Here is a 17,912-nt window from a genome sequence, read left to right on the forward strand (position 1 = left end):
CATATCCTTATATATCCCTCTTTTATTTCTTTAGGTTAGAGCCCCAAAAGTGGTATTGTTGGACGAGGGGATATGACAGTATAAATTTTAAATAACTTAAATTAATTTATTTAATGTATTAAAGAAAGCCAAATTTTTTCCCAAAAAACTTTGTGCTGACTCATAGTCTCACAAATAACATATAATGGAAACCTTCTCCTACATCCCCCAGCAATGGATACAATAATTTCTATAATTTTTGCGTAAGAGTGAAAATGGCAACAGCACTGTTGCCTATTTGTGAGTTTTGACTAGTTTATTTGCAATTATTTTTCTCTAAATTACCAATTTGTGTTTATTTTTACATTTAGTAGCTTATTCTTTACAATTTGTGGGAAATTTTTGTATACTGAACACATTTCCCTTTTGTCTAAATTAGTAACATAAATTTATTTTGGGAATAGATTTTTTAAAACTGAAAGTAACAAAGCTTTCTATGTCTAATCGTAATTCAAAAATCTTGATATATTCTCTTAATTATATTAAGGATCATCTTCATATGTAAATTAGCATTCACATAATTTGACTATTCACCACCTATAAATAAATATAAAGACCTTGTTAATTATTATGTGCTTGTAGAAATTAACAAAAGTTAGAAAGAAAATAATTTTTTCTTCTCAGCCTCAAATGTAACATACTGAAAATAGTTTCGAAGAGCTAATATGACTCTCAATAAAAAAAAATTAATGAATGATTCATCCTTGGGTAATCTTCCACACCTGTTCCATCAGGATATTTAAAAAATGGTACTTTCCTTTTCTTTCCCATTAATATTGTATTTTAATGCTCTATTTCAATGAAGTTTTATTTCTCCTTCTCCCATTCTTCCTTTCTTCCTCCTCTCACTACTTTCTTCTTTCCTTATTTTAACAATGTTACTCTTTTGAGTAACTTTTGAGCTACTCTTTTGACTAACATTGGAATGTTACTCTTTTGATGGAATATTTCAGTTACTTTCTTTCCTTTATTTTTTCTCTTTCTTTTGTTTTTTAAATCAAATAATAAACAGTCCTTCAAAAGGAAGAGCAGCTAAGAATATATATTCTATCCTGTTAGAAAAAAGTATTCATATTGCCCACATTCAAAAGACAGGTAAGTGACAAAGACTTTAAAATACCTTAAACACATTTAAGACACATAGGTCAACTTGAGAAGATATCACTTCATTGTTTTCTAAATGTATGAGTTGAAGCAGGAAGTATTATTTCAGAGAAAAGAAAAGAGATTAATGAGGACAACAGCAATGATGAATTGCATGTGCCTGTGATAAAGTCTGTTTGCAAAGAAGTCTAGATCCTATCAATCTAATGAAGATGCATTAAAACAGCATTCAAGGACTTGCTTTAAAAACATAAATTTTTCAAAGTTTTATTCCATTAGATTTATTTTGGATTCCTATCATTTTAACGTACCACAAGTTGAATTATGAAATATTGGATAATCTTTCTCTTGTCACATTTTGATGACCTTGATATAAAAATGATATTTATTATTATTATATTATTCAAAGAAGGAGAGATTTCTCACAGAGAGACATCCATAAGATTCTTAGGTATTTATCATCATAGCAGATTGACCCTAAAAATGACATTATTCTGGAACAAGGCACTTAAGATGGGAGACAAAAATAAATAAAATGATACCTCAATTAAAGGTCAGGACATGAATCTACAGAAAAGTTGGTCCTTTATACAATTGGCCATCATAGAAAGCACAACCAAAATATCAAGATACATCTCTGCTGAGAAAGTAAATTGTCAAGCTCTGCACAGCCATATTTGCCATTCAACACATTTAAAGGAATTTAGTATCACTCATAAAATTTTGCAGACATACAGAAAAGAATTGCGATCCTCCATTAACTGTAATGATACCTATTATTATTGCTGACAGTGATTGAGCACTTACTATGTGCCTAGCACCTAAGGAATATATGAGATTTTCCAACCGGTACCCTAACAAGGCCACTTAAATGAATCTGACTCCGTTCATTTTATAGGGAGGAGAGGCATAGAGGAACTGACAGACCTCCACAGAGCAACACTACCTTGGGCTCATAGGAGGACAACATCTACATCTTTGGGCTAGTCTGATGACAGAAATCTATAATGCCTGATTAATTGTGCTTCAAAAATGTATGGTGGGCCTGGCGCGGTGGCTCAAGCCTGTAATCCCAGCACTTTGGGAGGCTGAGGCGGGCGGACCACGAGGTCAGGAAATCGAGACCATCCTGGCTTACACGGTGAAACCCAGTCTCTACTAAAAATACAAAAAATTAGCCGGGCGTGGTGGCGGGCGCCTGTAGTCCCAGCTACTGGGAGGCTGAGGCAGGAGAATGGCGTGAACTCCGGAGGCGGAGCTTGCAGTGAGCCGAGATAGCGCCACTGCACTCCAGCCTGGGAGACAGAGCGAGACTCTGTCTCAAAAAAAAAAAAAAAGTATGGTGACTGGTACCATATGAAGGTAATGGATCCTCTCCATTCTAATAAAGACAGTAGTAATCTTTAGGCTTTCTCCTCAGTAGCATCAGTGTTATATAACTTGGACATCATGAAATGAGAATGAATAAAAAGAGAGAAGACAGAAAGATAGGGAAGAAAAAAAGAGACCTATTTAAATTTTTCTGAAATTTTACCTGCTGTTATACTCAGTGTCAATACAAATGTGTCCCAAGCAATAGATACAGTCAAGTCTGAAATAGTCAATGCTGGATGGTAAAACCTATTGAAAGACTGGGGCAGTAGTTTCAAGGGCTTCCTGATCAATGATCAATAGCTAACAGCATTGTTAGGTGTTTCTTCTGCTTTATAGTTGTGCTTAACAGGGAAGAACAGGGAAAAATGGGTACACTATTTCGTTCTGACTGAAAGTTATGACCCTATATATTTTAAGAAGTTTTTCTATATTGCGATGCAGGCAAAGGCTAGACGCAGCTCTGAATGATAGCAGCTGCTTTCCCCGAGAGGAACCGGAACTAGTGAGCTAGCATGACTCTTCCCTACTCATACGCTCACTGCCTAACACTAGGCTTCCCTGAGCTCACCTTCCCCAGAAGAGTGGAGCATCAAGAACTCTGATCACATCATTTCCTCCATATTTCCATTCCATTTCAGAACACATAGCCCACTCTAGTGTTTGAAAAATGGAAATCTACTTCTTTTTTTTTCTTGAGACAGAGTCTTGCTCTGTCCCCCAGGCTGTAGTGCAGGGGCGCGATCTAGGCTCACTGCAAGCTCCGCCTCCTGGGTTCACGCCATTCTCCTGTCTCAGCCTCCCGAGTAGCTGGGACTACAGGCGCCCGCCACCACACCTGGCTAATTTTTTGTATTTTTAGTAGAGACGGGGTTTCACCGTGTTAGCCAGGATGGTTTCGATTTCCTGATCTTGTGATCCGCCCGCCTCAGCCTCCCAAAGTGCTGGGATTACAGGCGTGAGCCACAGCGCCCGGTCATGGAAATCTACTTCTAATCAACTACACATGCTGAGAATTATTTTAAAATCATTTTTTCTCTTCTTAATATGACAACACTGATTTAACATATGGATAAGAATGCAAGCCATCATAATAAAAGTTATCCCACATTGATTTTTTATTCAACCATTTATCATAGTTTTTAATCTTATCAAAAAAGACACAATTTTTACCATTGTTTATGCCTGGACTTTGCTCAACCAACTGGCAATGGATCTCATGCCACATCTGATAAACTGTAAACAGTTATTTTGATTGAGACCAATGTGTGCGATTTGAAATAAGCTACTTCCAAGTTGTTCATGTACATGTTCTTGAAATAGCAAGGACTAACTTCCTTGCTCTCCATTAACCTTGCATACAAGATAAATAAATGTGCTCAAGTGAATATGCAAGTCTGTGGCTTGCTGGGTCACTAGCACATAAATTAGAACTAGTGTTCTGAATGGTGTCCAGTCAGAGAACACTGATCATAGTAGGAGAGAATATGGTTTTCTTGGGACCAAGCATCACCAGAAAGAAAAATGCTAGATCCACAGACTTTCAAATTAATTTTACAGAAAAGCAAATATGTTACTGTGTTCCACTGTGGAGTTACATATGCTTCCTTTAGTAGTCAAAGAAAAAATGTGACTTCCAGGGCCATTTTAAATAAGTTGCAGGACAAGCCCTACAGGGCTTCAGCATATACTCATTCTTATGCCCCAAATTATCAACTCTATGTCTGTATATTTGTCTTAGTCTGCTATAACAAAAGACCATGGACTTGGTGGCTTAAACAACAGACGTTTATATTCTCATGGTTCTGGAGGCTGGAAGTCAAAGATGAGGGTGCCAGCCTGGTCAGTTTCTTGTGAGGTCCCTCTTCCTAACTTGCAGATAGTCGCCTTCCTTCTGTGTTCACACATGGCAGAGAGAGTGAGGGAGAGACCAAGCTTCCTTCTTCTAAGGGTAATAATGTCATCATGAGGCTCCCACCCTCATGAGCTTATCTAAACCTAACTACCTCACAAAGGTAGTTACCTTCAAATACCAATACATTAGGGGTTAGCCCTCGAATATATGAATTTTGGTAGACAAAATTCCATCCATAATATTCTCCAGATGTACAGGTGCCTTCATCAAAACAATGAGTCATCAACACTAGATGGATTAGTATTAGTAGTCCTACACTGAGGAGTCTGTAAATTGAACTTTATTATATAGAATATATAATAGTATATGGATAGTAAAACATTATAGGAAAACTCTACACGCTACCAAAAAAAGTAATGATAAATTATTTGCTATATAAAGAGGAACGTTCATTATTCAATAAACTCAAAGTACTTGTTTTAATAATGTCAGTATATACTAAAGCAAATTTTCCCTTCCCTTGTCACTCACCACTTCTCTCTGACTATAAGCATGTCCAATATAGCCCTTCCATGTCAAATCTCTTCTCAACCCTGCTATCTCTTTTAACTAATAATTTATTCATTACTGGCGCTCTGATGTGCAGGGATGGTTCTCCTTCCACTTTTCTCCCCTAAAACCCATGTAACAAGACAACCTGATTCCAAAGTTGTAAAACTCAGCTTTTCAGATCTCCATATACACATCATTGATCTTTATGTGTGTGAATTTTCTTGAGCAAATCCAGGCCTAAACAGCCTAAGCCCTAAGAACATAAGCAAAGAACTAATTAGACTTCATTCTCCTTCATTCTCTGGTAACCTCCAGACTTACACAGGACCAGTTCCAGATTAATGTGTATTACGAACAAGCATGGTCAGGCTGTCCTAACATTTTCCAGGCCTGGGCAAGAGTACAAATGGAAATCCTGCTTGGATCTAGAGGAACATGCATGGGTATAACTGGAAGGATGGATATGGGGAAGAGGTTCATGTAGGCACTGGACATGAAGTGATGGTTTCTGGGATTGCTGGGGCATAGTTTAGAAGGAGGGTTCTGGGTGGAAACATCCCCTTAGACCCAGAAAATCCTCCTACCTAGAAGAGGAGCACAGTCAGAAGACAGAAGAGTGGGACTCTTCACCACATGGAGACCCACTGCAGGAGTCCTGGCTTCCTGGGTTTGTGGTGGCACTTGCCAAGGTTGTCTCTTTATTACTCTGCCTTCTTAACCTACTGCGTTAAATGTCTTGGTACACAGTCTTAACCTTAGCCTGTAATATTATCACCCTTCTTGTAATTTAGGGGCCATTTAATTTCCCTTCCTTATATCTTTCATCTTTCATCAACAGCATCCTCGTTCCCTGCCTGAAGCAGCTAACAGCTAAGCATGGAAACTAAAGTGTCTCATGCAATGCTGCACAATGAAGGCCAGGATAACCTGTGGATACCTAATAATATAAAGGTATTAAGTGAAACCTAATAATATAAAGGTATTGAGACACCCTGGAGAGCCTCTTCCCTCTTTGAGGGAATAAAGTTGCTACTTCCAGTTCTTCAGCATGCCCTCCTTAATTCACAAAGGAAATGCATCTCTAAGTGGGGAGTGTCAGTTCTCAGGGATGGGCAAGACACTGTTCTTGAGAAGATGAACCTGGTGCATGCTCCTCAAATCTCACACCACAAAAAATCTTCTACTTTTACCTAAAAAAATCTTTGATCCTATAAAAACAACAGAAAATTTTTGGAATCATAAAAATGTTGGAAAGAAAAAAAAAGGAATCATTAGCCACTACTATTTTCTGTTTTATTTTTAAAGTAATATCAGGTTGTTCTACCAATATTTTTAAAAACTACTACATTAGTAGTCAAATATATTACAGATTATCTAAGAAACATGTAACTTATCTAAGAAACATGTATCTAGAAAAATCAGGGTTTTAAGAAGGCTTTGCCTGGTGTAGTTAGTGCAGCAAAAGGAAGACAAGTGGAATTCTGTCCCTCGCCACTCTTCATTTAGTGTGGAAGAGGCTTCATCACTGATTTTGGTGGCAGGAAATAGTGATAGAACTTGATTTGTGGACCATAGGTTAATTTAGAAATCTGTCAATTTATAAAGCTAACTGTTAATGTATCAATTCTCCATACTAATCGTATTTATAAAGGGCACATTTTTTAATCCACCAGATAGAGGAACAGCTGAAAACTTCAGACGTAAGTAAGCTTGACATGATACTGCAGGAGAGCAAAAACCAAAACTAATAACTTCATTTTTACCCTCTCTCACAAAAGGAAAACTACCCTCTCAAACAAATGAAACAGGAAAGTGAGAAATCATGACTTGTTGCTTAATGCCTCCCAGGGGGATTATTCTGAATTCTGCAGACCTGCTGCTGCACAGGGAATGCAGAAACTCTTTTCAGTTTTCCAATTCTCTACAGCAATTCTAATGAAGTCCCACTGAGTCCTAGTCCAAGCTAAAATTTTGAATTTGGATCTGAAAATAGCTGTAAATATTTTCTTTTTGTTACTTTTTTTCTTTGCAGAAAAAGCCAGTGTTGGGGTTCCTAGTGCAGCAGATGCTTGCTAGAAGATAGGAATACATTATGCATAAACCAACTTGTTTTATTATAAACACTGAATTTAAGTTGTGTTTTTTTCTATGTCCTAAATAATATTAATCAATGAAATTCATCTTAAAAATTTAATACAGAAAACTCTTTGTATTTATAAGCATGAAGTGATTGAAATCATGGGAAATAAGTAGAAATTATAAGCTGTATATCATAAGGGTCTACAAATAAACCATGGCAGCGAGGCGCAGTGGCTTACACCTGTAATCCCAATACTTTGGGAGGCCAAAGCGGGCGGATTACCTGAGGTCAAGAGTTCGAGACCAGCCTGGCCAACATGGTGAAACCCCGTCTCTACTAAAAATGCAAAAATTAGGCATGGTGGCCCATGCCTGTAATCCAGCTACTTGGGAGGCTGAGGCAGGAGAATTACTTGAGCCCGGGAGACAGAGGTTGCAGTGAGCCAAGATAGTGCCACTGCCCTCCAGCCTGGCCGACAGAGTGAGACTCTCAATAAATAAACAAACAAACCATGGCATGAAAACATGGCATGAAAAGTTTAATGGGCTATTAAAAGGAAATTGAAAGGAGATTTGGAAATTTCTTTGTCTGGCATTCAAACATCTACACATTTCCTTACTCAGCAGCAACCTTTCACAGCATATGGGAACTCTAGTGTTTCTTATAAATTAAGCTTTTGTACATCTCTGTGCCTTTCTCAAAATTGTTCCCACTGTTTAGCCTTGTAAAAAACCTATTTTAGAATGAAAAAGAACTCTTAATTAATTTTTTTTCATTCAGTATTTTTGGTTCTGGAATTCAAAAAGTTTAGTTCTTGACCTACCTCTTACTCATAGGTTCCACCTTGATCTACCACCACTAGGATTCAGAAAAAGCAAAGAACCTGCTTGCAAAAGGCAAGCAGGAAAAACCATTCCTAGGGAAAGGAAGTCTAGCAGGAGTTTGACTGAATAACGAAGTCTTAAGAATAAAGGAGGCAAAGCCAAGTACTAGTGTTTTTTCTTACCTAAGCTCCTGGTGAACTCCTATCTTAAATCTTGAAATTGGCATGTGACAACTTAGATGACAGGTTGATAGGTGCAGCAAACCACCATGGCACATGTATACCTATGTAACAAACTTGACATTTAGCACATGTATCCCCAAACTTAAAGTAAACAATAAATAAATAAATAAATAAAATTAAAAATAAAAGAAATTGGCATGTGACTAAAAACTGAAGGCATAGTGTGCTAGTGGTATGAGACCAGTGGAAGTGACAGCAAAGGCATTCTTGAGTGGTAGTACCCAGTAAATGTGACATGGCAAACGAAGTACTGGTCAGAAGAAACCCTGCTAGAACCTGGAAAATCAGCTAGCTCCAGACTGGTTTATAAACACATACAAGATACTGCTTAGGGACTTTAGCAACTCTTGACGGAACTTATGTTATATGGGGTTGAGGTCCTATATTTGTATGTAGGGCAAAAACTTGGAAAACAATGTTTACAGATTTTCTCATCAGCAAGAGAAGCTAATACTTCTGTATTTAACCTAAAAGATTGTTACAAGGATAACATGAGATAATATAGATGAAAGCTATTTACACTTGAAAATGTCATCAAATATTCTATGACATATAGTAGTTATGCAGCAAATAGAAGACAGAAAGGAAGAAAAGGAGAGGGAGGGGAGAAAGAAAGAAGTAAAAGCAAAGATATTTATTTATATGGTTGCTATTATTAAACTTTTAAGAAATTAGTCAAATTCCCCCATGAAATCTTCCTCCTGATGCTAACCCATACTAACCAAACCCTCTCAGACCTTTTCCTTACCTGGTGTTGCATTCCTCAATTAGCATTTAAGTAGAACAGTCGTAGAGTCTAATCATATAAACAATAGAATTTATGATCTCTGCATAAGTAGTATCCATGTCTCTCTGTTTTGTATTTTAGAGCTTTAAGCATTGGCAATGCCTAGTAAAGAGCTTTAATCAATCCTCAATAACTTACCACACAATCATTGGATGAAGGTTAAAGGATTTTTATCTTAGTTTGTTTGGGCTGACACAACAAAATTCCTAAGACTGGATAATCTATAAACAGAAATTTATTGCCCGCACTTCTGGAAGCTGGGAAGTCCAAGATCAAGGCCCCATCAGATTCAGTCTCTGGTGAGGGCCTGTTCCTCATGTATGGCACCTTCTATGTGTCCTCAGATGGAAGAAGGGGTGAACAAGCTCCCTCAGGCCTCTTTTATAACAGCAATAATCCCACTCATGAGAGCTCCACCCTCCTGATCTAATCACCTCCTAACCTCACCTCTTAACATCATTGCATTGGGGATTGTGTCTCAACATACAAATTTTGAGGGGACACAAACATTCACATAGACAGTAAGGAGACTCTTAAAGTTTGACTGAGAAAAACTGACTTTCACATCTCAGCATTGACACTTAGTAGATGTGTAAATTTGGCCATATTACCTAACTTTTCCGAGCCATTTCTTATCTAAAAAACGAAGAACATGGACAGTGCTGAAATTGTAGTTTGTGATAACATATAAAAAAGAATGCATAACATATAATAGATAATATATGTTGGGTAAATTTGAATTTAACAACTTTTTAAACTAGTATTCTTTGACTTGTATGTAAGCCAAATATGCCCCAAAAGACAAAGATAATAGTGTTAGAATACAACATACTCCCAGGTGAGAATTTATCTTAAAATAATATATTTTAAAATTGGATTTCCACAAGCACAGTAAAAGCAGGACCTGCCTGCATATAACATGTGAATATGTCTCATTCATGAATTATTTTATGTATATGAGTTTTGTGTCCTCAAATAAATTATGAGTTTTTGTGGGCAGCAGTTATATCTTATACTCACACATATTATTTGATAAATTACATAGCACTGGGAGCAGGTTTTCAATACTACGAATTCATTCATTCATGGATACAAAGCAACTGTCTAGGAAGAGACAAATTGGAACCCACAGCACTAAACTCTGTAATTAGACGAATCGGCAAGTTTATATTCAATTTCTTGATTACATTGTCATTTATCATTTTTTCTCCTTTAACATGAACATAGAACAAAACTTTAAACTAGGGTCACCATGTGGCAAAATAATGACCAATGACATGTGTTATGTCTTTCTAAAGGGAGGGGGAAAATAATATAATCACATACCCATTTCAAGGAAAAGCCACAAGACAGCCACAGCATGCATGTGTGCATGTGTGTGTGCAAAATTTTTGACTTAACTCAAAATAACATTGTCTCGCTAAAGACTAGGATTTTAGAAAAGTTTAGCTTTGCAATTCTTCCAAAATAAAGATATATTTTAAATGTGATCTCTTTTAGAATTAGAATTTGGGTTAGGATTAGGGTCAGGCTGAAATATAAATATCTCTGTCTGTTGCGGGAAGTCAGGGACCCCGAATGGAGGGACCAGCTGAAGCCATGGCAGAAGAACATGGATTGTGAAGATTTCATGGACATTTATTAGTTCCCCAAATTAATACTTTTATAATTTCTTATGTCTGTCTTTACTGCAATCTCTAAACATAAATTGTGAAGATTTCATGGACACTTATCACTTCCCCAATCAATACCCTTATGATTTCCTATGGCTGTCTTTACTTTAATCTCTTAATCCTGTCAGCTGAGGAGGATATATGTCGCCTCAGGACCCTGTGATAATTGCGTTAACTGCACAAATTGTAGAGCATGTGTGTTTGGACAATATGAAATCTGGGCACCTTGAAAAAAGAACAGGATAACAGCAATGTTCAGGGAATAAGAGAGATAACCTTAAATTCTGACCGCCAGTGAGCCGGGTGGAACAAAGCCATATTTCTCCTTTCAGAAACAAATGGGAGAAATATTACTGAATTCTTTTTATCAGCAAGGAACATCCCTGAGAAAGAGAATGCGCCCCTGAGGGTGGGCCTCTAAAATGGCCCCCTTGGGTGTGGCCATCTTCTATGGTCGAGCTGTAGGGATGAAATAAGCCCCAGTCTCCCATAGCGCTCCCAGGCTTATTAGGACGAGGAAATTCCCGCCTAATAAGTTTTGGTCAGACCGGTTGCTCTCAAACCCTGTCTCCTGACAGATGTTATCAATGACAATGGTGCCTGAAAGTTCCTTAGCAATTTTAATTTCGCCCCGGTCCTGTGGTCCTGTGATCTCGCCCTGCCTCCATTTGCCTTGTGATATTCTATTACCTTGTGAAGTACGTGATCTCTGTGACCCACACCCTATTCGTACACTCTCTCCTCTTTTGAAAATCCCTAATGAAAACTTGCTGGTTTTACAGCTTGTGGGGCATCACGGAACCTACTAACATGTGATGTCTCCCCCAGACACCTGGCTTTAAAATTTCTCTCTGTTATACTCTGTCCCTTTATTTCTCAAACCGGCTGATGCTTAGGGAAAATAGAAAAGAACCTACATGAAATATCGGGGGTGAATTTTGCCCAATATCTGGCTGAATTTCCCCCGATATCTGTCTATACTTACAATGGCACTTTTTCTATTTCCTGGTTTATCACATCTAGCTCCTCCAGTGTTATGTATTTTTCTAAGTGAAAGGAGTATAATCTCTTCCTACAGTCAAATATGTCCTGAGTTTCTCTTTAAAAAATTCCCTTACTAATCAAAATGAAAGGTATTTTTAATTGCTTTTTTAAAAAATGATTTTAAAACCCCTATCCAGTTATTTAATAGGCACATAGGACAACTAAATTCCCTTAACTATTGTTTGTTAAGTTATGGACTCAAGAACAATCAGTCTAAAGTCTTGGCTTGCTTTAGAGAGCTGCTAGTTCCTGTTCTCACCCTGCCTAACCAGAAGTGTTTCCACTACTGAGCATGCTTTCTCCCTAGATAAAGTAGATCTCTCCAAGCCCTATCCTCACTGTGTTCATCAGCATATCTGGGTTGTCTCCAAATGTTCCTTCAATCCTTATCTTTTTCTTTTCAATTTTTCAAATTCCATACTTTCTTCAAAATTTAACAGCACATTACGATACTTGCTATGCCTTATCTCATTCCAGAGGAAACTGCCAGGACCACAGTTCCTGTTGCAGGAGAAGCCATAATGAGTAAGTCTAAATTGAATGCATATTGGCTTCTGACCCAAGCATTGGCTTGGGACCTATGACATAATACGGTATGAAGCTAAGTGGGGATAATCAGAAGTTCCTTCTCTGGAATTTAAATTGAGAAATTTTATAGGAGAGTGGCTCATAAAAGCAGGAAATAAAAGAATGCAATTAGCAGAAACGAGATAAAATTGAGGCTTTGGCAGGTGAAAAGTTGTAAAAAAAATTTATAAGTAAGGAGAAACTCAGATATAAGAACAACAAAGCAAAAACCAACTCAACAAAGAGAAAGAAAGAATAGTCTGATGAAAATATGTCGGGGATGGAGTTTGAGAGTAGACGGGGGCACTAAAACGAACTGAGCTATGTTATTGTGAAACTTGAGAGTTAAAAACAAGAAATCCTGTTTAGACATCTATCTCAGTGTTCTTGCCCAAGCAGGATTTGTGTTTCCCTTGAGGTACTACACATGTATATGATTAGGTGTTGCTTACCGACCTCTAATTCATTAAATTATCTTTACCACCAGATTAGAAGCATCTTGAGCTCTGATATCCTGTCTTACTCTTTCTCTTTTTTTCTCTTTTACCCAAAAACCTAGCACTAAACAATACTTCTCACATAGAAAATGTTCATTAAGAGATTCAAAACAAGTTAAAGGCCCTACATATTAATTTTATCCAGAAATCTACAAGATAATGACTCCAAGTCTTGTTATTTCAGTTTATAAAGTAACAAGGAATGCAATTTAACTTCTAACATGTTTATTTCCCCCTTTTTTGTCAATATTATTAAGGCTTGGCAATAATAACTCACAGCATAGCTGGAGCTAAGTAACAGAAGACTTCAATCCACAGATTTTTGAGTCTGATAAATGGCAAGAACAAGTCAAAGGTTGTTTATGCCAAGAAAAACAATACCATCTTTTCATATATAAGAAGAAGAAAAAGAGAGTAATACTATTTGATTATCTCTTCCTAATACTTATTCTTTCAAATGGAAGAATGCCAAATACAAGTTCAGACTTTTTAAATGGAAAAAAGTTATAATAATTAGTATAAAATGAGTCAAATATGCTAGTTACAGAAAGATTTCAGAATAATTCCTTAGTAGTTTCAAACTCTATAGAAATGGATAAAACAGAAGTAGTAGTCCTGTTGAAATCTGAAGATAGTTATTAAGTTACCATTCAGCTTCCTCTTCTTTCAAATAATACTGGGTTCTTTAGAGTTTTCAAGCAGGTCATCTTTTTCATCCCTTTAATCACTGTGGTTGGTCTTTTCTGAAAAAAACAGTTTTTCCACATCCTTCTCAGGTAATTTTCATGACTTTACAATGGCTTGTGTTTAATGGCAGAGTGAGCCAAAGGATCAGAGATTTATTTGGCTCTTATTAGCTTGTATTACAATAGTGAGAGAATGTTCTGGCTTATAGACAAGGAGGAAGCAATAAATATAGCATGTCTTACCTTCAGGAAAGGTTTTGATTCTATTATGAGTACCATTTTACTCAGCAAGCCAGAAAGTTAATCATCTTCATTACATAACAAACGGGGGTTCATGGAACCTCACCCTTCTAATTCTTATAATGCTGAACCAAATAAAGTGGCCCTTGTACTCACTTGTATACCTTTGAGGGGGCAGGGGCAATCTAGTTGATGTCCTATTTTGATGCTCTCCTGCAGCCTATTAGGTCCTGAGTTCCTCTGGCTTATCAGTCAATGAACCAGGGTTCACTTTTCCAGACTGTACCTTTCTGTTACTCTTCCTTATACTAGTATAACATTTTTATAGGGTTGATATAAGCTTTGCTCATAAAAATACGGGAAGAAAAATCAGAGAATATAACAAATGGAGACATTTTAAAATCACAGAGAATTAGTGTTCTCACTGTCCCTGGAAATTCACTCACTGATTTAAGTTCCTAAGTTAATTATCATAAGTTTTAGTTGCTATCTTGATCTGCACCTAAAACACTCCCCTTTGGTATCATTAATGTTCCAAGATCAGCTACTGAGAAGCAACATAGGTGAGGTATTGAATAGGAAAACAGGCTGGGAGGGTCTTTTTTCTCCTGGGAATGCTGAATAAACTGTGGGTTGTATGCCTGCATTTTGACTGAAACTCATTACATAAGGTCACATGTGGAATTTTCCATTTTTATCATGTTGGTGCTCAAATACTTTCAGATTTTGGAGGATTTCTGATTTTAGATTTTCCGATTAGGGATGCTCAACCTGTTCTTCTAAAAGCTTAGCTAACTATATGGGTCCTCTTCAGTTTAAAACATGGATTATGTGTCCTTCAGCATGTTCCATTCCACCTCACATGAGTAATGCTCTGGGAGGTGTACAAGCTTATATTTCACGCTCTTAAGATCTACTGATCAAAAATCTAGCCCGAAAGTCCATGAGGGCAAGGATTATGTCTTATACCTCTTTATAGCCCTCTTTGTGCTTGGCATTGTTCATTTTACCCTGAACTTACTCAATAATTGAGGGACAGAGCAGGATTTATACTTAGGATGCTGGACCCAGAGTTTATACCTGGGTCACTGCCCCTAGGCTGGGATGGAGCCAGGTTTTCACCAGCCAGTCTAGACAAGGAATGAAGTCTCATCTGTAGATACAGTGAAACCCCTTTGTCCTACCATAAGCTAATTAATGAAATGAAACTTTTTGAAAATTAATAGAATTTAGATGCAATACCAGAATTTATAGTATAAATAATTAGGATAAAAACATAACTTTTTAACTCACGAAGTGCATATGGTGTGGCAGAGATTGTTCGGCAAGTTTGCTGCTTCACTTGTCTTTGTTTCCTAAAGATAAATTTAGTATCATGCAAGAAATGCACATTACATCCTTTCGGTGCAATAATATTTCACATAAATTTGATTTGCCTGAAGCCAATACTGTAAATAAAGCAAACATATTCTGTGTTTCATTTTTTAAAAAGAGTGATGAACGCAGTTCCTGGGCTTATTTAAGCTTCCTGCGTTTTATAACTTTTTCAGTGGGATGAATTAGCATGATGTGGTGAAACAGGCTGGCAGATGCCAGAGGAAATTAAGACTTCCTGGGCATACAAGTAAGAGAACTCCACATATAGCAGAGAAATAAGAACAATCTGATTTTCAAAGCAGTTGCTAATCTTATTTCTGCTCATATCTACTCTACATGTTTCTCCTGATGTGAAACTTTTATGAAGTTCCAGTTTTAGGGTTCACTGAAGAAAAGACTGCCAATAATCCTGAACCCTGCCATATTTTATCAAAGCTTAGACAGACAAATGGTCATAAGGAACTGAAATAAAAGGAATTTAGTATCTCAGTGGACTGCTGTAAGTAGGATTCCTAACCCAAAGACCAAATACTGAGAAGTCAAACGTAAATATGTGTGTGTTTGCATGTATGCGCATAGACATATATGTGCATACGCATATATGTGTACGTGGAGAGAGGAAGAAACGAAGAAGAAAGAATGAGAGAGGGGTAGGGGAGATTCAGAGACTAAATTGGGAAGAGTAAAAGTAGAAGAGTAGCTTCAAATAGATTTGGTCTGAAGGCTAATTTGTGAAAGTACAATTAGAGAAAGACAATGACTGCAATTATAAACCTCATTATCTTTAACAGTTAAGCAATTGTTAAAAGACACAAAAAGTAATTTAAGCTTTATGTGCTATCAACCATGCAAAAGTTATTAAATTCATCATTTGTACATATGTGGAAATATAGACATATGTTAACATCTTATATTTAAGGATATGTTGAGCAGGTATGCATTCTATAGTAAATAAATATATAATGAAAAATAGATATAGAAACCAGTGATTGAATAACATGACTTTGTAAACCAAGCAAAAGGAAAAAACACCTCCTCTCTTTCTCTAGCTGATATTCTCATTGTCACTGACAGGTTAGTATAATAGTAAAAATGTCAGCAATTATTTTAAACCAAGAAGCAATACAATTTCATTTTTTCTAGCCAAGAAAATAAATCACTATATCTAAAAATATAATTAAAAAATGATTAAAATTGATAGCTGGTAATGCTTTTTATTCATTAAACCATTAAATTCTCACTGTAACCCCATTTGATTGGAAAGGAAAGTAAGGCTTCAAGATGTTGAGTAACTTGTCCAGTCACAAAGTAAATGGTAGATATGGGATGTGAATTCAGTTTCCTGTTGTTCCAGAGCAGGAGTAGCAAACCCTACAGTTACCCTACAGCAAATTCATTGGGAAAATGGGCTCTCATTGTCCAGTCAAATGTTTTAAAAGAATAAAGCCTTTTAGCAGGGCAGGTATATATGCTCTGTTGACCCTATTCTGATTCTTGATTACTACATTTAAAACTACCTCAAAATGTCGTGGCATAAAATCTCTACTATTTTATTGGGCTCACATTTTTATATGTTAGGAAGTCAGGAAGTACTCAGGTGGGGGGTTCATCTCTAATCCATCTGCTATTAACTGGGGTCAGCTGGTGCTGAAAGATTGGCTTCCAACTTGGCTTCTTCATTTGCAGGTCTGGCACTTTTGTTTTCCCTGGGCTTTCTGTTTCTAGCACAGCCTCTCAGCCTCCAAGCCCTCTCCACATGGGCTTGGGTGGGAGTAGTCACACTTATTAAATGGTGGTTAGCTTCCAACAGGGAGGAAGTACAAGTTTCCAGGCCAGTTAAGGGCTGTGCCTGTTACTGGCAGTATCAGTTCTGCATACTGTATTGGTCAAAGCAGTCTGGGGCTGCTGTCTCAGATTCAAGTAGGTGGCAAAGTAAACTTTACCTCTTGATGGAAGAGTTATAACAGCTCAATGCAGATGAGAGATGTTGTGCTCGTCTTTGGAAAAGACAATCTGTCACAAGCCCTGTAACTCCAAATTGCTTTAAATCTAGTATCTTCAGATATTGAAAATACTTGCCAACCACACAAGGACTAGAGTTTATGTCTATACAGTAGAGCTTATTTTTATAACTACCATTAAATCATCTTCTCCTAATCTTAAATACTAATTATATACAGATAACAAAAGAAAGTCAACACTGAAAATAAATATAAAACAAATATGCACAAAATTACAAGAAGAATTTAAAATATGCTTATGGAAAATAATATTAAAGGTTATAATATAAAAATTAATGGGTGGGGCATGATGGCGCATACCTGTATTCCCATTACTTTGGGAAGCTGAGCAGGTGGATCACTAGAGCCCAGGAGTTCAAGACCAGTGTGCAGCAGCATGGTAAAACCCCGTCTCTACAAAAAATACAAAAATTAGCCAGATGTGGTGGTATGTGCCTATAGTCCCAGCTACTCGATGGGGTGGGGGCAGGAGGTTGGGGTGGGGGGATCCATTGAGCCTGGGAAGTTGAGGCTGCAGTGAGCTGTGATTGCACCACTGCACTCCAGCCTGCATGACAGAGTGAGACCCTGTCTCAAAAAAAAAAAAAAAAAAAAAACTAACAAAAGCTATTAAAAGTCATTTTTTTAATTGTGGACACAGCCATGCCTGTTAATTAAGAATAACAATTTAGAAAGGCCAGGAATTTTGTATTCTAATTTGACACTTAATAGAGGTATGCACTTGAATATATTAATTTACCATACTGAGACTGCATAAAGGAGACAGTATACATAAAATTCTTAGTATGGTGCCTGCACAAATTGAATTAGGACCCAACAAACTTTAGTTATACTTACTTGGAGGACGGCCTGATAATTTTGTGTTTTTACAAAATTCTTTATATTTATATATACAAACTTCTAACACCTAATACTGACTTGACAATCATAGGCCTATTTTAAAGACTTTTCTA

At 37.0% G+C, this 17,912-nt stretch overlaps 1 long non-coding RNA gene across 1 annotated transcript in view; it reads right to left on the minus strand.

Annotated features, from left to right (window-relative positions):
• The window catches only part of LOC105374029 (uncharacterized), a 65,172-nt gene extending 47,991 nt beyond the window's left edge, over window positions 1-17,181 (minus strand). Inside the window, exon 1 of the long non-coding RNA XR_001740467.2 lies at window positions 13,283-17,181. This is a non-coding gene — a long non-coding RNA (uncharacterized LOC105374029). The remainder of the gene's footprint in view (window positions 1-13,282) is intronic.
• Window positions 17,182-17,912: the final 731 nt, after the last annotated feature.

This window comes from Homo sapiens, chromosome 3 (genome assembly GCF_000001405.40).
Source record: "Homo sapiens chromosome 3, GRCh38.p14 Primary Assembly".
NCBI lineage: Eukaryota > Metazoa > Chordata > Mammalia > Primates > Hominidae > Homo > Homo sapiens.